The 24,566-nt window shown below is 40.1% G+C and overlaps 1 protein-coding gene across 1 annotated transcript, besides 4 other annotated features; it reads left to right on the top strand.

Moving 5' to 3' along the window:
• Positions 1,808-1,857: a silencer, noted in NCBI's record as "silent region_17593". NCBI's record gives its function as "represses an Ori minimal core promoter by ATAC-STARR-seq in GM12878 lymphoblastoid cells {active_cell/tissue: GM12878}" and the evidence as "EXISTENCE:reporter gene assay evidence [ECO:0000049][PMID:35858748]".
• Positions 1,986-20,900, top strand: PERP (p53 apoptosis effector related to PMP22). Its single transcript, NM_022121.5, has 3 exons — positions 1,986-2,278; positions 12,911-13,051; positions 17,137-20,900. The coding sequence occupies exons 1-3, from the start codon at positions 2,065-2,067 to the stop codon at positions 17,361-17,363; spliced, it is 582 nt and encodes a 193-aa protein (NP_071404.2). The 5' UTR covers positions 1,986-2,064; the 3' UTR covers positions 17,364-20,900.
• Positions 21,124-22,323: an enhancer, noted in NCBI's record as "BRD4-independent group 4 enhancer chr6:138408219-138409418 (GRCh37/hg19 assembly coordinates)". NCBI's record gives its function as "activates an origin of replication core promoter dependent on BRD2, P300/CBP, MED14 and CDK7 cofactors, and independent of BRD4, by STARR-seq in HCT116 cells {active_cell/tissue: HCT116}" and the evidence as "EXISTENCE:reporter gene assay evidence [ECO:0000049][PMID:35650434]".
• Positions 24,168-24,337: an enhancer, noted in NCBI's record as "experimental_90506 CRE fragment used in MPRA reporter constructs". NCBI's record gives its function as "activates a minimal promoter by MPRAs in K562 erythroleukemia cells, with activity observed for the non-introgressed 6:138406290 or rs636249 variant allele {active_cell/tissue: K562}" and the evidence as "EXISTENCE:reporter gene assay evidence [ECO:0000049][PMID:34662402]".
• Position 24,252: a transcriptional cis regulatory region, noted in NCBI's record as "Neanderthal adaptively introgressed variant 6:138406290 (GRCh37/hg19 assembly coordinates) or rs636249 in the experimental_90506 CRE". NCBI's record gives its function as "modulates activity of the experimental_90506 enhancer by MPRAs in K562 erythroleukemia cells {active_cell/tissue: K562}" and the evidence as "EXISTENCE:reporter gene assay evidence [ECO:0000049][PMID:34662402]".

Below are 24,566 nucleotides of genomic sequence, written 5' to 3'. Positions count from 1 at the left end.
GAAAAATCATCATCATCATCATCAACCCTTACTATATGCAGGAACTATCTTGAGCACTTTAGATGAATTTGCTCTTTTAACAATCATTAAAACACTGAGGTTAGCACTGTCTGTCTTACAGATGAGGAAATGGAGGCACAAAAAACTGAACTAACCTGCCCAGTGTCACACAGCGAATATGAGAAAGCGTGTAAACCTGAACCATCCGGTTCCAGAGTCTGTACCACATGTTGGGTATATTATTGTTGGAAACCCACCAGGGTCAATGTGGTCTCTTCCAGAAATTGTGAAGAGCTAATCTCTTTGTGTTCACCTCGGCATTAATGAGCTCTTTTCCTCAAGCCCATCGGAAATGGTTTCATTGAATAACGAAAATAAATTATATATATCAAGTCCAAAATTATCCAGAGATATTAAGATGCCTGCAAAACTCTCATTTTGTCTGAAGCCACTTTGCTTCTGGTCAGTATTTGACTTATAAGAATTTTTTTTTCTCACAAATATATTATACATAGCTAATTAAACAAATATCTTCATTACTTTTGAAAACCCTGAGAACATAAATATCACCATTTTCTTCACACAGCTTCCACGATACAAAATTAACTTTTGGCAGAACACCCTCTTGTGTTCTTTGAAAGTGAAAATATTTTCCTGTAATAAAAATATATGACGTGGTTTATGTAAAACTTGAATTATGTAAAATGAAGGCTAGGGAAATTATTTCATGTATTTTCAGATACTTTCTCCATGCTTTTATTCGTCCTCAAGAATTGCCAGAAAATGGCATAAGTCAAAAGAGTATTCTGTTTCTATTGAGAATATCAAATTGGAATACAATTTAAAATATTTTTAAGTAGTTCCCACTTTTATATTAAATTAACAGAAAAAATAGGGGATTCAGAAGAAATCTTTGGAGGTACAGGGTTAAGACATGACCCCCATACGATGTTTCAGTGATTTTCCCAAGGCCACCGAGGTGCCTGACACTGAGAACTCCTTTGTCCTCAGCGGCACACCTGGCTGCCACCCCACCCTTCCTGTCACATCTTAGGAGTCAGAACTGCGACGGGAGCTAGCCCAGGACACCGAAGGGGGGATCCTAAATGCAGGTTGCATGCTGACGTATGATTTTTATTTGGAAAAACCTCAAAATAGTAAATGAAGAGTAGAGAGAGTGCAGTTTAAATAGGTAGAGATTCGTGATAGGAAGTGGACTGCAGCAGAGGCGACATGAAATTATCTGGGGAAGCCAGATGAAGCCTTTCCGAAAGGAAGCGAGCATTTGTTAAATTACATGTTCATTCATCAAATTCACTGAGCTCCCCTTGAGATCCAAACACGGTGCCGGACACTAAGGATACACAGATAAATTCAGCATCGCCTCCGCTTTCCAAAATCTGGCAACCCAGCAGGAAAGAACAGCATGCAAAGAGATAAGAGTACCCGGGGAGCCACGGTCCAAGGTGCAAAGGCGGAGCCTAGGAGGAAGGGATCACCTGTGTCAGCAGGGGTCAGGGACGGGCTTCTGGGTTTGGGTGCACGCGTCCAAAGGAGTGCAGCCTTTATCCACAGGTGCAATTAGAACACCCATCTCACACTGCTGAAAACTCAGATATGGCACTGCTGACCACCGCCCCACGATGCGACATCAGGGGTCAGATATTAGGCTGGCGCTGTGCAGATAAACAAGTGTATATGTTGGTGCGCCAGGAAGACAAAACACGCGCCTGGAGAGGCCAGGAGAGCGGGACTGGAGGGTTGTGGGACGCGCGGGACCCTCGGGCCGCCTTCCGCCGCCGCCCGGTGTCACCAGAACCCAGCCTGTTTACCAGCGGCCCCGCCCGCCCCGGCCCGGCAGGGCAGGTCGGGGCGGGCGCGCTCTGAGTCACCGGAATCTAGGTGGGGCCGCCCGGAGCGGCGTCCTCGGGAGCCGCCTCCCCGCGGCCTCTTCGCTTTTGTGGCGGCGCCCGCGCTCGCAGGCCACTCTCTGCTGTCGCCCGTCCCGCGCGCTCCTCCGACCCGCTCCGCTCCGCTCCGCTCGGCCCCGCGCCGCCCGTCAACATGATCCGCTGCGGCCTGGCCTGCGAGCGCTGCCGCTGGATCCTGCCCCTGCTCCTACTCAGCGCCATCGCCTTCGACATCATCGCGCTGGCCGGCCGCGGCTGGTTGCAGTCTAGCGACCACGGCCAGACGTCCTCGCTGTGGTGGAAATGCTCCCAAGAGGGCGGCGGCAGCGGGTCCTACGAGGAGGGCTGTCAGAGCCTCATGGAGTACGGTGAGTGCCCGCCGCCGCCGCCGTCGCCGCCTCCAGGAAGCCCTCGGGGCCGCGGCCTGCAAAAGCCGCCGCGCGTGATGGGCCCTCACAGGGTCGGGGGAGCCAGTGCTTTTCAGAATGCCTGTTTAGGACGAGCTCGGGCTCATGCATCCGACCTGAACCAAATGCAGCAGCAGTAGCTTTGGGTGGCCAACACCAAGCTCAGAAACAGAAAAAAAAAAAAGGCCGTAGTTCAAACTGTATAGTTTTTTTCCTGGGTTTTGTCGGTTACGTACGAAAGATTATTTCAAGCATTGCAAGTTTAGATGAGTAAATATAATGAACAAAGTTTCTTGGAGACCTGAAATTTCTTCCCATTTCTCTTCCTTCTCGTTTCTTCTTATGATTAAAATATAAATATTGAAATAACGTGCCTTCCCTAATATCAGTGGATTCGTTCAACTTGATATAGCTGAAAAAACTTTCTCATTTAAAAAAGCCCTTTCAGGCAGTTTTAGCAGTTAACGTTTTCAATAGATATTTCAGTCTACTTTACCGGTCAGGCTAGTTCTTGTTAGCTCTTGTTCTAGGGCGTGTCCTTTGGTTTAAGCATGGCATTGTTGTTTAGAAAACTTAATTATTTTAATCCGATTTGAAATCTAAAAAGCAAACACATTCCCTACACTCGCGACGTGAAGCAGAGTTGACAAATTTAATGTACCTAGCAGGTGAAGTACTGTATGCCATTTTCCCAGCATGGAGGAAGCTCCCTGCTTGCCTTGCTGAAAGTCAGGACTGGAGCATAGTTCTTGTCTGAGAAGGCATTTTCTTTCACAGTGGGAAGCCCCCTCTCCTTTCCTGGGGGTGGATGGGAATCACAGCTGGGGTCTACTGTGATTAGCAATGTGTGTGGGGGTGGAGATGGGGTCTGTGAGAGCCTAATAAAACCTTAAAGCCAAATGGGCTTTACCTACCGGGTTTAATAGTTTTAAACACAGACAGCAAGCTACCCTGCCTGTTTTCATTTCTTACTATTACCATTGACTTGATTTTTTTCTTTGAAGTGGCCCAGGGCTTCCAACCCAATCCTGTTTATTTGTGTTTCCGGGGGACTATATCAGCAACTTGGTGCCCTTTCTTTTGTGTAATCCTTTGGACGTCACTTCCCCACAAAAGGAAGCATGGTCCCCATTAGCCAGGTAATAAAATGTAAACACTGCAGAAAATTCCAGCTTTCTTTGCAGTTTGTGTGTTTTCTTCTCTGAAAACCCATACACTGTGCCAGCTCAGGTTTGTATCATCTCCAGTGTTTTAGGTTTTTAAAGCGAATTAATTGTTTTTTGAAATAATGTACCTCTATCTTCTAGTTAAAATGCATCTGAACTCAGTCTCTTCTAGGGGACCTAACAGATCTGCGTGTGTGTTTTTAAACATACTTTGATAATTATACCCTACTCCAAAGACTAATGCAGACCCAAAGTATATGCAGTAATCCTCCACATATAAAGTAAGACTAGCGTGCCTTTGACTGGTGGCGGGGATATTGGCAGAACTATGATCAGTGCTACTGACGGGACATGATTTGACCTGCAGGGCTCTGGCTGTGACCACAGCCCTCTTGTGAAACATGCACAATGCCATTTTTATTTTTCTTGACTTGCAGGATGAGCTCACCTTTTTAGGGTGTGGTGTTCCACCTTAGACTGATACAGTGCTTTGTATATGGAAGGCAATAAGCAGGTTTTTTTTCTTAGTTTGGTTGAATTTTTAATTAGAAGTCTAAATGTTAATTTTTTTCATTGTAAAGAAAACACTAACCAGTGTATAGTTTATAATTCAGTTTGACATAGAAATTGGTCCTTGGAAAAGCTCGATTTTCTAAGTGGATCTCGAAAAATCTGTTTATGATGCAGCATGACTGATTTTCGTAAATGGTAATAGCTTTAACAACTCAGTTTAGTTATTCCTGCTACCTTTGCAAAGTTAATTAAGTGCCAGTAATGCATTACACACGGCTCTTGCTCAAGATCTGGAATCAAATCATGAATCTGGGATCCGCTGTCATGAAGTGGCTGTGGGAAGAAGACAGCAGATATGGAGCTACCTCTGGCCGTTGTAGCCAAAGATGAGTTTAAGTGCTTATTATACGTCTGTCTCATCGCCTGCATGCACATTGTCTAGTTTTGCCTCACAATTGTAGAAGCTGTGTATAACGACACTGTAAGGCGATTATCTAGGCATCTATGAACTCTGGATTTTCAGATAGCCTTAGTAAGGCCTTACTGAAAACCATATATTTACATGAGCTTGTACTTTATCTAAAATGAAGTAAGCAGTTTACACACACTCCCACGTATGCACAAACACACAGTATCTTGTGCAACAAGGAATAAGGTTGATGGCTCTGATTAAAATGAGATCTCCGTATAGAGAATTGAGTGTGTACATCCACTTTGAAAAACTTCTTGATATGTACTAGGCAATAAATATTTTGATTTACCGTTGTAACTATTAAGAAAATCTTGTTATTACAAAGTGTTTCAACACCTCTCTTATTAGTTGATAATCATAACAATATGTTCATTTTGGTAGTAAAGACACAGGTTATTCCTGGCAAGTATTGACAATAATCCGAATGAATATGGATGTTTTTATAAAGATAAATAATTCCTTAGAACTATATAAAAAGCAGAATATTATATTTTTCACTGTTACTGACAGTTTAAGAATTTCAGATGACCAAATCACCTCATTTTTCCTTGTGAAGGAGCCAAATTATTCGCTGAATATTTTCTTTGACCAGCTAAATTAACACCCAGCTAAAAACATTCTTATTTGAATTTTTTAAAAATCATGGTTTATATTTGTCAAAACAGGAAAAGAAAATCTATAGATTAATGATTGAAATCATTCAAATTTCACCTATAAATAAAATGTGAAATTTAAATGCATGTTCACTCATACTAGTTTTGCACCGCTGGCACCATCTTTTCTAGTTTTTAAGAAAGAATACATCAGGAGGATATTTTCAGCCGCAGCTGTGTAGATTTCAAATCACAGGCAAGCTCCAGCTTGTTCAAGGGGAGAATAATGGTGATAAGTTTGTGCACCAGAGTGAAACAGGGAGTCAGTGAGGATTGACGAGCATTTGCCTTGAATCCAAACTGGGAAGTACAAAGCCTCCGGTTTTTTGTTGTTTTTTAACCAAAGACACCCTTTGCATACTGTAAATGCATCAATATTTTGTTTGTTTTTAACATGAAATCGCTGTTGGCCAAGTCAAAGAATCAGTATTACATGAAATAGTTTTAGGTCAGTTAGCCCTGTGGCTCTCCAATGTACAAGAAATAAGAAAAGTAAGTACAAGTTAATAGTTCACATTAGTCTAAATTCCTCTTAAAGCAGGGATCCCCAACCCTGAGGCCACAGACTGTTACTCCCACTGATTCTACATTATGGTGAGTTGTGTAATTATTTCATTATATATTATACAGTGTAATAATACTAGAAATAAAGTGTGTAATAAAGGTAATGCACTTGAATCATCCCAAAACCAAGGAAAATTTTCTTCCTTGAAACTGGTCCCTGGTGCCAAAAATGTTGGGGACCACTGATTGAAAGGACTTCATTTTGAGATTATGCCCTTGTGGTTTTTTCAGTGGGGAGTGGGGTAGGGAAAGGTATTAAACTGTTCCTGGCCGGGTGTGGTGGCTCACGCCTATAATCCTAGCACTTAGGGAGGCCGAGGCGGGCAGATCACTTGAGGTCAGGAGTTTGAAACCAGCCTGGCCAACATGGTAAAACCCCGTCTCTACTAAAAATACAAAAAAATTAGCCCGGCATGGTGACAGGCACCTGTAATCTCAGCTACTCAGGAGGCTGAGGTAGGAGAATTGCTTGAACCCGGGAGGCGGAGGTTGCAGTGAGCCAAGATTGGGCCACTACACTCCAGCCTGGGTGACAGAGCGAGACTCAGTCTCCAAAAAAATACAAAACTGTACCTAATTTATGAAATTAGGCATTAGCAGACAGATTACTCTTTTTTTTTTGAGACGGAGTCTCGGTCTGTCGCGCAGGCTGGAGTGCAGTGGCACAATCTCTGCTCACTGCAAGCTCCGCCTCCCGGGTTCACACCATTCTCCTGCCTGAGCCTCCCGAGTAGCTCGGACTACAGGCGCCCGCCACCACGCCCGGCTAATTTTTTGTATTTTTAGTAGAGACGGGGTTTCACCATGTTAACCAGGATGGTCTGGATCTCCTGACCTCGTGATCCGCCCACCTCGGCCTCCCAAAGTGCTGAGATTACAGGCGTGAGCCACCGCGCCTGGCCGCAGACAGATTACTCTTTGCACGAGCATGTATGCATTCAAGTTCTTACACAGCAAAAAATAAAAAGTTGGCCACTCTATTGATTTAATAATTTTTAAAAGTACGTATGATTTATAACATCTAGAACGTTTAAGACCCAGTAATCTAGTCCAGGCCATTCATTCCACATGTGCCTCACTCAGCAGTAGCCACCCCAGAGAGCCTCGGTTCCTTTCTCAGTGTCCCCTAACTCGTGTTTGTCCTGTAAAGGGACGCAGACTACTGGGATGTTATAATTAGAAGGGAATTAAAGTACACCAGATTCAAGCTTTCACCAAAGCCTGCACCCATCCATAGCACCCCTGACTAAGCTTCGTCCCTTATTCAACAACTTAGTTCTGTTGCCTGGATGATAGTTTGTTTCCAAGTCCTTCTCTTAAACTGACAGAGCTGTGTAATTCCTACTTTCCAGCTTTCTTTCATTGACACATGTTCAAATATTTGAGGGTAGACCCCAAATTCACTGCTAGTTGTCTTTAGATTGACTTTTCCTGTTTTCACCCTGTCCTGTATAGAATGGCTTCTCCCCTCGTTGATTAGATAAATCGTCTAAAAGAAGGTTATTAAGGGTTAAAGTAACAGAGAGCAATGGAGTAGTCAGTTTCATGAGACCATGCAGAGCATGTAAAGAATCTCACACCATCTGTGGAATGCTCTCCCGTGTATTCTCCCTGCCATCTCTCTGTTGAGCCATTTAACTGCCTTCCTGAACTTCTGCAGAATGGTGTCTTTTTATGTATTTTTTGGGGGGGACTGCTATGAGTTGTCCTCTAGATTTTTGCTGCTCTAAGTGTCGCAAACCAGGACAGCAGAATTATCTGGGTGGTTGTTGGACGTCCAGTGTCTCATGCTGGCCTAAGGATCGGAATCGGCATTTTAACTACTTCCCGGAGGAGGTAAGCACTTTTAAGTTTCAGAAGCACTGGCCAAATCACTGCAGATTACCTCCTCATTGACTATGCAAAACTATATTTTTGAATATATCATTCTCCTATGCTTACATTTAGTTGTAGGCAGGATCTTTTTAATTTTTTGAACTGTGGTTTTATCCAGTTTTCAGTTCTGCCTGTGTTTGGCTTAAAGAGCCTTATAGAAACAATATGAAGAATCTGACAAAATCTTGGATGATACAGAATCTTTGGTATTATTGACAGATGAATCCTGTATTCTGGAAAGGGACTGGACTCTGGTTGGGTGCCACATTAGTGTCATAAGGGCGTCGTTTAAAACTACCAAAGAATGCAGCAGATTCATGAAGAGGAGGACTACCTTTGGGGGGAAACTTAGTGATCGTCTCCAAAGTATCACCAACAATTTAAAAAATATTAATGATGTTCTTCTTGTCTTAAAATAAAAGTTTATTTTATTTTCTCAAGCTTCAGTTTATCATTTCTAGCTTGACTTTTTTTTGAGACAGAGTCTCCCTCTGTTGCTCAGGCTAGAGTGCAGTGGCGCAATCTTGGCTCACTGCAACCTCTGCCTCCCAGGTGCAAGCGATTCTCATGCCTCAGCCTCCTGAATAGCTGGGACTACAGGCGTGTGCCACCACACGCAGTTAATTTTTGTATTTTTAGTAGAGATGGGGATTTCACCATGTTGGCCAGGCTGGTCTCGAACTCCCGACCTCACGTGACCTTTCTCGGCCTCCTAAAGTGCTGGGCTTACAGGCTTGAGCCACCGCGGCTGGCCTATTTCTAGCTTGACATTTAAAGTATTTATTTATTTTTACTTTTTTGCTCTTATTAGTTGATCTTACTAGCCTTGTAACATTTTGCGTTTTTGTATGTAATTTCTGGAAAAAAATACAGCATGCTTTGTCATACAGAAACCTTAAAAACACGTCCTAGGAAAAACTCAGTTTTGTTGGTGATCGTTAAATGGTTTCCGTGTTCTTGATTTAATGTTGAATCTTTGCGAGGGCTAGGAAACTTTGAGAAGCTGTTGTTCATCTAATGAATATCACTTAAATTGGATTTATAATGCTGCTGGTTTCTTTGATTACATGAGCTTTTCTAAATGGTACTTAGAAAATAAAGTTAGGACACCAAATTGGTCTTCCCTTAAGAAAATAAAACAAACAAACAAAAACTTTCCTACACAGAAACGCAGCATCTATTTACCTGGAGTACTGAATGCTTTTGTGGTCTCAATCCAGAGAATGAGAGTTGACAATAAGAATCCTTTCTACTCTCTCCCATACACTTACACACACACACACACACACACACACACACACAAATCTGGTATATAAAATAGTAATGAAAGACAAACTTGTGTTCGTATTAGATAAAGATGGACAGTCTGCCTTTGAAAAACTGAGGACCATCTATTGAATCATGAAAGATGTAGCTTTAGGACAAGTTCTAAAAATTGATGTTTTCCAGTGGGGTCGGGAAATAGGGTAGAATTTAGACCATGATATAATATAAAAATATAAACAGCTCCTAAAGGGTTTGGTCAATTTGTAGAAAGTAGGCTCATTCTAGGTAACTAAGTGAGACCACAGCTACCTAGGGCATAAAGTTATTAACTTTTCAAAATGTAGGTCATCGAGAATACCCATGTCCTAAGTCTCTACATCTGAAAGGCTCCTTCTCAGACAGAACGGTGGGCTGGGAGGACCCTGCTCAGACCTGGTATGGTCTAAATGGTCACTGACATGAGAAGGCAGATTGCTTTACTTGAAGACGTCTGTTATTCATCAGTCAGGATCTTTAGAACTGTGCCAAGTTTTCTGTCTTAAATGATAGTTAAGTGATTCAATGTGGGTGTTTCTGTGATGCAAGGAGCAGGTTTTACACGTTCTATTTCCAAGGCAGTCTTTCTCAAGACAAAATGTGGTTTAATTTTCCATTTTGATTTTCTTTAGACTCAGCACTTTAAATAAGCAAGACATGAACTGAGTCGTGTTAAGATAGCATGGGAAAAGTTCTTAAAATATTCCTATATTTATGTTCACGTCTTGGCTTTAGGTTAGGTGAATTGGCTTACCATTTCTTTGGTTTAATTCCTTCCAAGCACTTGAAACTAAGCATAAATTATACTTCAGCTATAATGTTAGAGGAAGTATAATAGTAATAATCTTTTTATGTTAATTTTCCTCAAATAGGTAAAATTGTTAATATTACTCTTTACAGAAATATCATACATAATTTATTTGGCTAGATTTTTCAAACCTTTATCTGTGATTGTAAAAGTTTAGTTATTGAAATAGATTCCTTGTTAGGAGGTTTTGCCTGTTTTTATGGAAAACTCACATTCTCCTATGCAATGATTTTTATTATGTTTGCGTTCTTTTACATGCATATATAGATATGTTTCCTTTCATTGCAGTTTCAAACTTCTGAACTCATAAAATTAAAAAAAAGTTTTTGCTTATTTGATTTAACTATTGGACTTAATTGAACTTAACAATTACCAGTGGCCATTTAAAAAAAACTAAAGAAATGAGACTGTAATTGACAATGGGTCACATACTTAAAGTTATATGATCCTTTTTGGTAGTGCTGCATCTGTTTTAATAAGGACTTTAATCATCTAAGTTGTTCTCAAACTTTATGGATATAAGAAACACTAATAACATGCAGATTCTTGGGTGCTACCACTCAAGCTCTGATTCCATAGGTCTGGAGGGAGGCACAGGAATCAGTATCATTTTAAGGAGCACTACTGCTTATTTTGCCTTTGTGGTCTATGGGCTGTACTTTGAGAGGTCTGATTAATTAATGTTCTTTCCAAAGCATGGTCCCTCTTCTCTTAAAAGTTATCTTACTTGAAGAACAAGGCAAAAGTGAGAAAAAGAGACTTACTAAGTTTTAACATTTTGGCTTTATTCCTTTCTATTTTAAAATAAAACATTCCCATTTTAACCTTATCTCTCAAGTCTCTCAGTGGTCTGACAGGAAGAGCTAGAAGATTTGGAGGAAAGTAATAAAAATTGTCCGTATAAAACTAGGCCAAATCAGGTACAGTCTCAGCCCCATCCTGACCTAATTTGTGTGAAAACAGTGTTTCTAGGACAGAAAAATGTTTTATCTCCTTAATAATCTATTGTGCCCCAGTCACTCATGAATCTAGAGGAAGACCTGGAAGGTGCATGGGAGTTGGAGAAGGGCATGTGGAGCCTTAGCTCAGGTTTGTCTCTAACAGATGAAAAGAGAAAAATGCATCAGATGATTGAGAAACAATCTTTAAGGGATGGTGCAGAACCTTGCGAATGTAGAAGAAAATAAAAACATGAGGTACTAGAGAAAAGTCACAGGGACACAGGAGGAACATTTTGAGTAGTGAGGGCTGGGGAGTTAGTCACTGATACTACAGGAGTGTGCTTCCATCATCTTGGAATAGGTGTTTTTAGCCTTGGCTAACAGATGCAAAGACTGGAGTATGGCCAACAGGGGCAGAGGCAGGGTCCAAACGAGGTCCAGCAGCTCCAACACCCTTGCTCTTTCTGCCAGCCCCATCTTTGTTTCACCTTGACCAGTCAAACAACCTAGAATTAAGTGAGGACAAATACTGTCAGCTGTGCTGCGTCACAGAGTAAGAGTAACGCCAAGATGGAGGACAGGTGACTCATGACTCTCCTTTTCAAATGTAGTGAAGACTAATAGGTTAAGTGTGCACGATCTTCCAAGAGCAAATGAACGGATAGACTAAAGTCTATCCATACCATAGAATATTAATCAGCCACAAAAAGAATGAAGTATTGATTGATGCTATAACATGACAAACCGCATCATACCATACTCAGTGAAAGAAGCCAGTCACAAAAGGCCACATAGTGTATGATATTCCATTTATATGAAAAGTCCAAAATCGGCAAAGGTATAGAGACAGAAAGTAGATTTGTGGTTGCCAGAAGCTGGAGGAAGAGGGGATGGAGGGTGACTGCTAATGGGCACGGGGTTTCTTTGCGGGGCGATAAAAATATTCTGGATTGTTAGTGGAGATGGTTGTACAACACTGTGAATATAGTAAAAACCACTGAATTATACACTTTAAAAGGGCGAACTTTATAGTGTGTAAATTATATCTTTAAAAAAGTCATGTTTTGGATTCAAACAGGCTGAAATCAAACTCTGTCTAAACCATTTACCAGCTGTGTGGCTATGGGCAGGTTATTTGAACTCTAAGTATATCCTTCATTTCTAAAATAGAAACAATAGCAGTGTGTACCTTAAGAAGTTATTAGGAGATTTACACTACTCAGGTAATGGGTGCACTAAAGTCTTCACCATCATACAATTCAGCCATGTAACCAAAAACCACTTGTACCCCAAAAACTACTGAAATTAAAAAATATATATAAAAATAAAAAATAACCTGGGAAAAAAAAGTTGTTGTGAGGATTCAGTGAGCTCATGCATGTCCTGAATGTTATTAGGTGTTACCACTAGAGGAAAGGTTGTGTGTGAAGGGGTTTTAGCAATGAGGGCAGGTTGAACAATAGGTGTTGTTGACTGGAATCATTCGTGTGGATAGCATGGATCTCTGTATTTCCTCAGTGTAGAATAGAATGACCCAGGGCTGGAGGTACCCATGTAGGTCTTCAAACCTAGAAGTTGATTGCCATCAAATCCTGATTCTTTTTTAGGGCAAAGGTAAATAATTAAAATCTCTTGTGCAATACATTTTGAATACTTAAGAAATTAAAATTTAGGCAGAAATTTAGGAAAGTGGTTTGCTCCCAAGCTTGTTATAAGATCTTGTTATAAGCTAGTTATAAGCTTGTTATAAGATCAGAGCTACTTCTCCACACTTAAATTGTTTTATTTAACACCTCTGCCTAGTCATAAATATATTTTTTCAATGATTATTTTTGCATAGAACCAAACATTAATATGAAACAAAGATCCCTTAAAGGTATTTAAAAACATTTCCTAGAGTTTATAATCTGGATTGCTCAGTACCAAAAATGTTGTTTATTATGATCACGTTGTGTCAGAACTTGGGTGAACCTTATAAATATACCCGTTATGTGGCAAACTTATCACACGAGAAACAGATTAATGAAGTTTGACTTTCATTTCAGAGATGTAAACTTTTGCCAAAAACTGAGGGGGAAAAGGCATTTCTGAGTCTCAGTATATTAATGTCCTACATATGAATTGCCTGTTCTTCCCTTAAAATATGGAGATGCTCAAGTATTGTCAAAAGAAAAACTGTCCCTCCATCCAAATGTAACTAGTAGGGAAAAAAAGCCCAAAACCATGTTGATACTGTGATAAGTAATTTTTAAACTTGGTATGTCTGTCTTGTTAATTGCTGTTTCTTTTTTTCTTGCAGCGTGGGGTAGAGCAGCGGCTGCCATGCTCTTCTGTGGCTTCATCATCCTGGTGATCTGTTTCATCCTCTCCTTCTTCGCCCTCTGTGGACCCCAGATGCTTGTCTTCCTGAGAGTGATTGGAGGTCTCCTTGCCTTGGCTGGTAAGACTGTGTGTCAGCAATTCTTCATTTATGCCTTCAGTGGGCATCGACTTAGTAATGGTCAATTCCACAAAGAAGACCCGTGACTGTTACAGTTTCTAATCTGTTCTCGGAAAATGTATCACCAGGGCAGAAGTAACAGAGGAGAGATGTGTTTTAAGATCTGGTTCCCTTTCCTCTTGTGGCTCACGCAGTGTTCTGTAGTCCCCATCCGAGTGACAGGGATTGTCACTCTACATGCCCCTATCTCTCTTAGGGGGCCCTATCCACTGACTCCTCTACCCGAGAAACTAGGCTATGTCAGCCCTGGAAAAGCAGTGCTCTCCGTTGTGGTCCCCAGCCCTGGCCTGCTGTGAGCCCCCTGCTGAGGGGACCTGAATGCCCCTGAACTATTTCCCTTGTTGAAAGAGGCTTGTGATCTTATGATGTGGGTCCTGAAATGGTGTTCTGCCGTGGGATGGAAGACCCTGGGAGGGGCCAGAACTGGAATCTGCAGCATGGTGCCTGTGTGGGGGGAATAGTGGTCCAGACACAGGTGATGTGAAGAAATTTAGTTATTCAGGTGTGCAGGGCCCAGTGTGAATATTTATTGATGGAATACAAGAACTAGGATTTTAGGAGAAGAATTATTGGAAATTTTAGTCAGGTCTGTGGCACTAAGGAAATCTGTCAAAGGGGCAGGACCCTAGCCACGGAGTTAGATTCAGAAGTAAAACTGGACTTTCTGAGCAGGGAAAAAAGAGAAGGTGCTGACAGCGGCAAAGCGAGGCCTCAGGTCATTTCTTACCAGTTTAGGCTTATGGGACCAAAGCAGAAATTCAAGCTACAGACCCGAGGTACAAATACAAAGTGAGCAGATGGTCTTGGAAACAGGTCAGAAGCCTTATGACTCTAAGGGGTCTATATGATCATGCATGAGCCAGGAGGAAGGCCACTTTGCGCCGGTTCCCTGAGCTTAGAAGAGTTAAGTTCGCAGAGCTGTGGGCAACACAGGCGAGGCAGGAGGAGTGCCTCAAAGAACCAGCTGGTACATGCACAGTCCTGGCCTTCTTCACGGCACATTTGACAGTTTCTGTTGATTAAAAATAAAGTTTCTGATCCTCATATTTTCAAAGTTTGCTTTTTGAATAATATTTTAAAATCAGAAGTGACTTGGAATCACAAAAGATATAAAGAACCTGGTTGATGCCCACTTTCATTTCTACTTGATTATTTTTGTAGTTCACATTTATGAGACTCTAGCAAAGAAACACATTTGATGTGTCTTCCTTTCATGTGTCGTAGAAAACTCCATAGATGCCAGTTTAAATCACCATTAGAAATAACACACTAAGGCCAGGTGTGGTGGCTCATGCCTATAATCCTAGCACTTTGGGAAGCTGAGGCAGGCAGATCACTTGAGGTCAGGAGTTCGAGACCAGCCTGGCCAACATGGTGAAACCCCATCTCTACTAAAAATACAAAAATTAGCTGGGCTTGATGGTGCACACCTATAATCCCAGCTACATGGGAGGCTGAGGCAGGAGAATCACTTGAACCTGGGAGGTGGAGGTTGCAGTGAGCCAAGATGCATTGCTGTACTCCAGCCTGGGTGACAGAGCAAGACTCCATCTCAATAAATAAATAAATAATAAATAACACACTGAGACATTAATGTTAGTTGAAAAATCCTAGTAAATACTATATGACCCAGCATTCCACTCCTAAGTGTATATCCAAAAGAATTAAAAACAAGAACTTGAAGATACTTGTAACCCATGTTCATAGCAACACTATTCACAACAGCCAAAAGGTGGAAACAACCAAAGTGTCCATCAACAGATGCATGGACAAACAAAATGCGTATATACATACAGTGGAATATTATTCAGCCATAAAAAGGAATGAAATTTTGATATATGCTACAACATGATGGACCTTGAAAACATTATGCTAAGTGAAATAAGCCAGGCACAGAAGGACAAATATATTATTCCATTTACATGAGCTACCTGGAATAGGCAAATTTACAGAGACAGGGAGTAGAATAAAAGTTACCAGGGGCTGGGGGGAGGGAAGAATGGGGAGTTATTTTTTAAGAGATACTGAGTTTATGTACAGATGAAAAAGTTTTGGGTATAGATAGTGGTAATGGTTATACAACATTGTGAATTCATTTAATACCACTGAATTGTACACTTAGAGTGAACAATTGAAAGTGAAAATGATAAATGTTATATATATTTTACCAGAATAAAAAATATCCTAGTAAAACTCTTTTATCCATTGCTTTCTTGTAGCATTAAAACAAAAAGATCTAGCAATGGCCATCCACAGTGACGGGGTAGCAGAGTTATTGTTGTAAAGAAAATTAGTTCAGTGAGCTTCAACAGATTTACAGCTTAACAGTCGGCTTAACCTAGTGTTTTCATTTTGTAATTTAATACTCATCCTTTCCTTTAAAGAGTATGAAAAATAGAACAGAAAATGTATTTAGAAGAATAAAAAGCCTAGAAATCTCAACACACTTTTAGTAGTAATGCTGAATAAGGCCTATTTGACTTTTAAGGTATGTTTCATAGAAACTGTTATTTTAAATTTTATATATATTCTTACATTAAACATCAGAAAAATTGAACACTGATACAATTTAAATTTGGCAGAAATTAATCCAAACTGTTATAAGGACTTCATATATGATGAGCCAGAATCGATAAATAGCAATATTTAATATTTATTACTAAGAAAATTAGAAGTCAACATAGAAAAGCATTGCTTTTGTATCTTACACAGTATGTGGTAGCAAATGACAAACTTAAATAGTAAGAGATTGCTATTTAAAGTATACCAGAAGTAGATAAATGTTTAAGATTTGCCCTAAGATTGTCCTTTGTAAATTGCAAGAGAAGAGGAATGTTTAGTTAAGAATTAGAAGCAACAAATGAAGACACAGAAACATCTATAGCCTTTCTAGCAGTGAAAAAAAAAAATGAAGAAGAAAAAGAAAACTACTTCAAGGTACATCTGTGGAGCTGTAGACAAGAATTAAGATGGTAGAAAAAATGGTGGTGAGGACTACAGATTCCCTGATACCTTCCTGGAGGGCACAGCTACTTGGTCCCTCCTTGTGGAGAGTAGTGTCTTATGGTGAAAGAGCTAAAATCAGACCCTTTGACATGGCAATGTACATATAAAGTTAAAATGATGCAGAACACACATGTATATACTCATTGTAGCTTTATAAAATCATGCATGTCCATTGAAAAAGACCACGAAAGTAGACTCAATAATGTTCATTTTGTTTGAAATTGCTTAAATACTATTACAAAGATTAATAATTGTAATAATGTGACTATTATGCCAGAGAGTTTAGAAATCTTCATGTGTTTCTTTCCACATCTTAACTCACACCTCCCTAAGCACTGTGATCATTTGCTGCTTTTGTTTTTTCTGTCCCCACCACACTTCCCCATGCCCTTCCCCCTGCCCTCCCTCCACGTCTGTTTCCTCTTCAGATTTCCGCGTCCTCTGCAGGCTTCTCTGCGGATTCTCCCCTTGATCATTCTCAATATTAGTTCATTGTTTCATTTAGTCATTTACTTATTGAATGAATATTCCAGTGATGTGTTATTGAATATCAATATTGAGTCATGTGTGCATGCCTGTGTGTATATATACATATATATATGTAATTTTTGCTAACACTGAACATATTGAATATGTGTTTGGTATAGGAAACACAAAGATGAAAAAAATAGGTTGTTCTTTACTGTCCTGCTTTCTATTGTATGCCACAGTTTTGCACTTTTTTGCTTTAGTATATATAATGCTTATGTAATATAGAATGGATCTCCAATGATTTTTTTGTGTGTTTTTCACATATTTGGCATATGTGTGTGATGCTGCTCAGTGCCAGGCATCTCTTACACACAGTAGTCAAGAATCTTTTTTGGCCTCTGCCTAACCAGATTCCTCCTGCCTCCAGGTAGATTTTATACTTATTTCAAGGCAGAAACTTGGTGGAAGGAGGTAATCTGTCGCTAATGTGTATTTATTCCTTCATGCATGTATGCATTCATACCCTGGGATTTTTTTCTTCCCTTTAGCTGTGTTCCAGATCATCTCCCTGGTAATTTACCCCGTGAAGTACACCCAGACCTTCACCCTTCATGCCAACCCTGCTGTCACTTACATCTATAACTGGGCCTACGGCTTTGGGTGGGCAGCCACGATTATCCTGATTGGCTGTGCCTTCTTCTTCTGCTGCCTCCCCAACTACGAAGATGACCTTCTGGGCAATGCCAAGCCCAGGTACTTCTACACATCTGCCTAACTTGGGAATGAATGTGGGAGAAAATCGCTGCTGCTGAGATGGACTCCAGAAGAAGAAACTGTTTCTCCAGGCGACTTTGAACCCATTTTTTGGCAGTGTTCATATTATTAAACTAGTCAAAAATGCTAAAATAATTTGGGAGAAAATATTTTTTAAGTAGTGTTATAGTTTCATGTTTATCTTTTATTATGTTTTGTGAAGTTGTGTCTTTTCACTAATTACCTATACTATGCCAATATTTCCTTATATCTATCCATAACATTTATACTACATTTGTAAGAGAATATGCACGTGAAACTTAACACTTTATAAGGTAAAAATGAGGTTTCCAAGATTTAATAATCTGATCAAGTTCTTGTTATTTCCAAATAGAATGGACTCGGTCTGTTAAGGGCTAAGGAGAAGAGGAAGATAAGGTTAAAAGTTGTTAATGACCAAACATTCTAAAAGAAATGCAAAAAAAAAGTTTATTTTCAAGCCTTCGAACTATTTAAGGAAAGCAAAATCATTTCCTAAATGCATATCATTTGTGAGAATTTCTCATTAATATCCTGAATCATTCATTTTAGCTAAGGCTTCATGTTGACTCGATATGTCATCTAGGAAAGTACTATTTCATGGTCCAAACCTGTTGCCATAGTTGGTAAGGCTTTCCTTTAAGTGTGAAATATTTAGATGAAATTTTCTCTTTTAAAGTTCTTTATAGGGTTAGGGTGTGGGAAAATGCTATATTAATAAATCTGTAGTGTTTTGTGTTTATATGTTCAGAACCAGAGTAGACTGGATTGAAAGATGGACTGGGTCTAATTTATCATGACTGATAGATCTGGTTAAGTTGTGTAGTAAAGCATTAGGAGGGTCATTCTTGTCACAAAAGTGCCACTAAAACAGCCTCAGGAGAATAAATGACTTGCTTTTCTAAATCTCAGGTTTATCTGGGCTCTATCATATAGACAGGCTTCTGATAGTTTGCAACTGTAAGCAGAAACCTACATATAGTTAAAATCCTGGTCTTTCTTGGTAAACAGATTTTAAATGTCTGATATAAAACATGCCACAGGAGAATTCGGGGATTTGAGTTTCTCTGAATAGCATATATATGATGCATCGGATAGGTCATTATGATTTTTTACCATTTCGACTTACATAATGAAAACCAATTCATTTTAAATATCAGATTATTATTTTGTAAGTTGTGGAAAAAGCTAATTGTAGTTTTCATTATGAAGTTTTCCCAATAAACCAGGTATTCTAAACTTGTTTCCAGTTTGTAGTTTTTCCATTTTTCAAATCTGGGGAAAGGAATTAAAAAAAAAATGGGTAATAAGAACATGGGATATAATGAAAAGTGGTTTTTGTTTGTTTTTTTGTTTGAAGTTTTAAGGGCCTTGCTCATTTTAGGTGTCCAAAACCAATTTTTGAGTGGAGATTAATGAATTCTAATAGTCTATTCCCTGAACTTTTCCTCAATGAACAATACCCTAGACACACATTAAACAATTTCTCTGCAGTGCTATCAACCAGAGGAAAATGGACTAAGAGATTTCTGGCAGGTTCAGACACCCGGGGGACATGTGTGCAGTGTAGCTGAAGCCTCCTCCTTGTGCTGGGGTCCCCTTCCATTCAGGTGGTGGGGTAGCAGTCTCTCTATTTTCCCCTTGCCCTCCTTCCCATTTTATCATTTGTTATTTTTTTTCCCACCATAAGTCATATGTTACTTCCACTATGGTGTATGTCATTGTGAGGATGGGTGCAGAGAGGCTGGGTGGGAGAACGGAAATATATCTCCCTAGGGCTACTGTTGGCCAGCTAGTCCTTGGCAGTGAATTTTTCTATGCTTTTCAAAATGCGAGGTGAATGTTTCTCATAGAGAAATGTAATCTGGGTGATTATACCAAAATTGAAAAGAAAAACCCACACAACTATGCCGTGGCTGGTGGAGAATTTGAAGTGGTCATTAAAAATGTTAAAAATCCCATCTTTTAAAGTGATACCACAGCTCATTCAAGAAGATACTGGATATCTAGAGATTAAGAAACGTGGTCTCCTGTTAAACATGAAAATGACTCCGTTTATAAGCTTCTCTACCACATGCACTTGTCTTTGCATGATTTCCCATCCAGCCTTCTTCCCCTCCTCAATCACACAATACCTTAACGGCGCACATTTAGGAAAAATGCAACCTCCTGGGACCAACGAGCCTGATATAATAGAACCATGTCAACCTAAAGTATTTATGACAAAGATAAACTCTTATTTTGCAGAAATGGTCTGCTTCCTTCAGCCTTGTTCTAGTATAGAGATCTGCCATTCCTTGTTGATCCAGATTCACCAAGACAGATACCTTTATGTCATAACAGAAGGGAAGTTCCAGAGGATTCTGGAGAGTAATGAAGAATTGGGCTGAGAAACCACCTGAAGGCTAACAGTGCATTGCATGAGATTTCCCACAGTAAAGCTGAGGTGCTTTTTGGTTCAGTAATTAAATATTGAGTTCCCACCCTTTAAATAAGCAGTTCTAGGTTCCTAAGCAATTATTTCACTCTGTAAGTAGCCAGACATGCTAAGTGGCACTTACTGCTGATTGTAACAAAGAAGTAATATATCAAGGTCTTTCCATGTTCACACAAGGTAGCTTGTGTGTAATAACTTAGCTTCAAAACCATAGACTGCAGAACTCACAAGTTCAACAGCCTTTCCTTTTTTAAGGAAATGAAAACAATGGAAAATATAGTCATCATAACTTAATTCGGTTTATTTTTTTTTTCTGTAAACTCCCCCTGAAAGACATTCCTATTAATACAGTAAATGTGAACACTGACTTGTTTTTATAAGCACATCTGAAAGGGCATATTTGAGTCTCATCCCAACTTTGGTCCTTGCTATCTGTGCAGGCTTGGGCAGGTCATCTCCCTGCTGGTCTCAATATCCTCACCTGTAAAATGATTGTAAATGATCCCCCTACCTTCAAGATTCTCTGATTGATAGAATTTTTTCTTTAATTAAAAAATTTTAAATATTCCTTGAGTTGGAAGCACTGATCAATAAGTGGATTGCTTAGGGAGGTTGGAACGAATAGATTCAGTCCCAACTTCCTCTTTTAAATTCCCTCTTCCTCACTCTTCCTGCAACACTTATTTTTACAGTTGAGTTTTAAAAATAAGTAATATATAAAATAATTTCTGTAGTGTGGTTTCAGATTTAAAAATTCCTGCAGACAGGCTGGGCTTGCAACCCCATCAGTCGATGGTCAGAGCCCTTTGCTTTTTGAGACCATTTTTAGGTGAGCTTGGCTTGCCTGGATACAGTGTGCAGTGCATTCTTCCTGAATTTTGCAATTCTGGTATCTGGGTGTATTTTCTAGGTGTGTCAGGGTGAGTGTAATCCACCTAGGGTGTGGAAAAAGCCAAGAAAGGGAAATTAAAAGAGGTTCCTATCCAGTCATGTTAATGATCTTCCACTTGTACTATCCTGTGCTTCGTTGTTAACCTCGAAAACATACTTTGTTGGCTGCAAAAATAAACAAAGGGAAACTCAGAAGTGTGTGAGCATGCGTGTGTGTATTTAGAGATAGTTCTCTGGTGAAGAAATGGAATCCTGCTGATTTAAATGGCACAAGATTGTCTTCGTGATAATGAGTCATCATATAATCATAATAGATGGTTGTGTAATGGGGTGACCCAGCCAGTTTTTCCAGTGCAAAGACTCAAGGTAATTAACCTGCTATTATCAACTGCTTTTGATTAAGTTACTTTCAAGAGGAAATACTTAGATTTGAAACATAAACTCTGAATTTCATCAATAAAAGTAAATTGCCAAGTGAGACTTTGAAAGCAAGTTCCATGTGGATACCCTCTGTTTCCCTATTCTATCCTTTCTATCGAGTTGAAATGCTTCAGTGAAAATTTGCATTTCCAAATGCCACCCCACCCAATTTCCAAAGTCAAGCAACACCTCAATGCTTAATCCTTTCCCAATGAAAAAACAACAATAACAACACTAAAGAAAAACTGATTTCAGCGCAGATGTAGAAGACTGTGAGAAATGGACACAAAGGACACTGGCATCTGCATGATCGATTTCATGTTGATAGAATTGTCATTGGAATAATATCCTCTTCTGAAGATGTGTAGGTGATAAGAAGTGGGACACATCATGACTGGAGACATCAACATGATTACATGAATTCCTGGCAGATCCCAAACAAAGACAACCGCCTTTGTCTCAGAACAGTATATGAGTCATGCAGGACACCTAGGGGCTCTCACTCTGGAGTGATTTAGGGAGCTACTGTAATTTAGGGAGAGGTGACCCTTCCTCTGGGCTGACACAGCCTCCTCCCACCAAGAGCACCCTGGGCTGGGTGCCCTTGTGCAACAGGGCACAGCTGCACCATCCTCCCAGGAGAACTGGCTATGAGATTAGGGCATCCAGACACCACGGTGGAACAGTCTCTAATCCAAAGACAAACCCCAGGAGGGATGAAAATTACTGCCAGGGGTGTTTAAAGAAGTCAGTCAAGCCTTGTTCCTCTTCCCCCCACTCCATATATCCCCACATTTACCTCTCCAAAATTGTCTTTTATTGGGCTCAGAAACACAGAGGCATCTTTTTCCATCAATGTCAGGGATTTAAGTACAAGGGTGAATAGACCTTTCCCTGCATTCTCCAATTTATGACTTTGAAGGGTAAATTCAACATTCAGAAACATCACAAATTCTAAGCTAAGTCAAATGATGTTTGTCTTTTTCTGCTGCAAATACACAGTGCCTTAAATGAAACTACGATACATTTTTTTTAAAAAAAGTACTATGTTGAAGTTTCTCAGTTCAGAATGCAACCTTCATGCTTCCTGATTGCAAAGACTAACAATAAGCTTCTAGTTGCAACTGGCTAATTATTAGCCTAATTGCCCTAGAGGGGCTCGCTGGGAATCTCTGAGTGAGTTGTCTCTTTCACTCTTGGGTAGAGTGGTGCTATCCTTGGACTATAGCAAAGCTGAGCTGTTAAAGGAAAGCCATGTCAAGAAGAGAACCTGCTTCTACGCCATTGTCTGAGTCATCCCAGTTTCAGCTTGTTTGGTACTAAGGAGCTTATGTATCAAACATGCCTGGTTGTTCATGTTCTTCCACTCAACAGTTTTTTTGTTCTAAGAAGACATTAGAAGAATTTTCAGAATATGTAGCTCTGTAATCCAAGGGATGCATTTGGAAAAAAAGACAGCTCTACATGTTCTCACCAAGGGAGCGTGTTTGCATAGCCTGTCCGTTAGCAGGTGATCAATGAAAAAGGCACTACTTAGGCCCTAGTGTTTACTTTGGTAACAGAGCAGCCCAATCTTTCCTCTCAACCTGGGGGTGAGTGAGTCATCACAGCATGGGTTAGGACTAGCAGACAAGGTATAAACAACTTCGGCATTCTAAAACACAGATACATTCTCCTGAAAAACCATTTGCATGGAATGAAGAAGTTTCAAAAACAGGCAAACTAATTATCTTCAAAGAAGCTTTGTGAGCTTATATTCAGTGCTGAGCTGAGATTTAACTTAGGTTCTTATTTGCAGGAGTTAACTGATAGCAACCCTTTTTTTCTTTGGAATTCTACAAATGTCTTTAAGATTTCTGTTAAAAAAAAAAAAAAGCCACCATTAGAATCATAATCTAGATTTTCCCTAGAGAAATGCATACCAATAATTCAAAAAAATCCATGTTCCATATATATATATATTTATTATTATTATTATTATTTTTTTTTGAGAAAAGATCTTACTCTGTCACCCAGGCTGGAGTACAGTGGCATGATCAGGTTCACTGTAGCCTTGACTTCCCAGGCTCAGGTGGTCTTCCCATCTCAGCCTCCCCAGTAGCTGAGACTACAGGTGCACACCACCACACCCAACTTTTTTTTTACTGTATTTTTTTGTAGATATATTATGATCCCCATTTTAGAGTTAGGGATACTGAGCCTTGGAGTGGTTACTGACTTTCAAAGTAAATAATGAAGTTATAATTCGAAGCCAGGTTGGTTTAAATACAAAGTCCATCCTCTTAACCACTACGCAAATACATTTGGGAAATACAGAGGTAGACAGGGTTTAAGGGTTTTTATTTTTGCTTTTTGTTTCTTATTACTGTACAAATTGCAGAACCATTAATATGCTGAAATGAATTATAATCATCAAGCAGAACCCTTCCTGTTTTTTAACAGTACATTGCTTTAATTTGGATTCCTGAACAGGGACTTGGGAGTAGGTGATTTATACAGGAGGTGATCCCCGGACGTACAAATGAAGGGATGAGGAGAGTAGGGCAGTTTAAGAGAAAAAAGAATCAAATGTGTGTGTTTATAATCAGATCACTGCCATGGGCTCCTGGGTACCTCTAAAGAGCTCTGTAGAATGTACCTCAAAATAGTTCTGCTTGAAGACAGGGAGACTGGATTTTTATCCAACGGCTGCTGGGTTTTTTGTTTGTTTTTTATGAGACAGAATCTCCCTCTGTTGCCCAGGCTGGAGTGCAGTGGCACAATCTTGGCTCACTGCAACCTCTGCCTCCTGGGTTCAAGCGATTCTCATGCCTCAGCCTCCCAAGTAGCTGGGATGACAGGTGCAAGCCACCACACCAGGCTAGTTTTTGTATTTTTAGTAGAGATGGGGTTCCACCATGTTGGCCAGGCTGGTCTTGAACTCCTAGCCTCAAGTGATCCACCCACCTTGGCCTCTCAAAGTATTGGGATTACAGGTATGAGCCACTGCACTCGGCCATGACTGCTATTTTTCATTGTTAAATTTGCTCACAAGGGTTTAAATTCCCAGCACATCTGGGTTGCCCTGTGTGCAGGATGAGATAGCGCCTATGACGCCAGGTAAAGCTCTCAGGCCAAGAAGCAAAAAGACAGCTGCTTGGGGTGGGAAGTTGTCAGTATGCATGGGAACTCTACTGTAGTTGCAGGTTAAATTAGACATAGGTCAAGGACGCATGGATGGAACATCAACATTGTCTGCCACAGTCCACCACTCCTGGATGTGCATAGATCAGCTCTGGCTTACACTGAGTAGGCTCTGATGTTGATGTTGCAACGTATTATAGTCACGGGCCATAGTCTCTAAAGTACAGTTAAATGGCAGGAGGGTTGGTGAAACAAATTGCAGTCCCCATAGCTACAGCAGTTGCTGAGGCTTTAATTAATCTTTTGTACAGCAAC

This window comes from Homo sapiens, chromosome 6 (assembly GCF_000001405.40).
Source record: "Homo sapiens chromosome 6, GRCh38.p14 Primary Assembly".
Lineage (NCBI taxonomy): Eukaryota > Metazoa > Chordata > Mammalia > Primates > Hominidae > Homo > Homo sapiens.
Note: the sequence above shows the minus strand (reverse complement) of the source record. Positions and strands in the feature narration are given on the sequence as shown.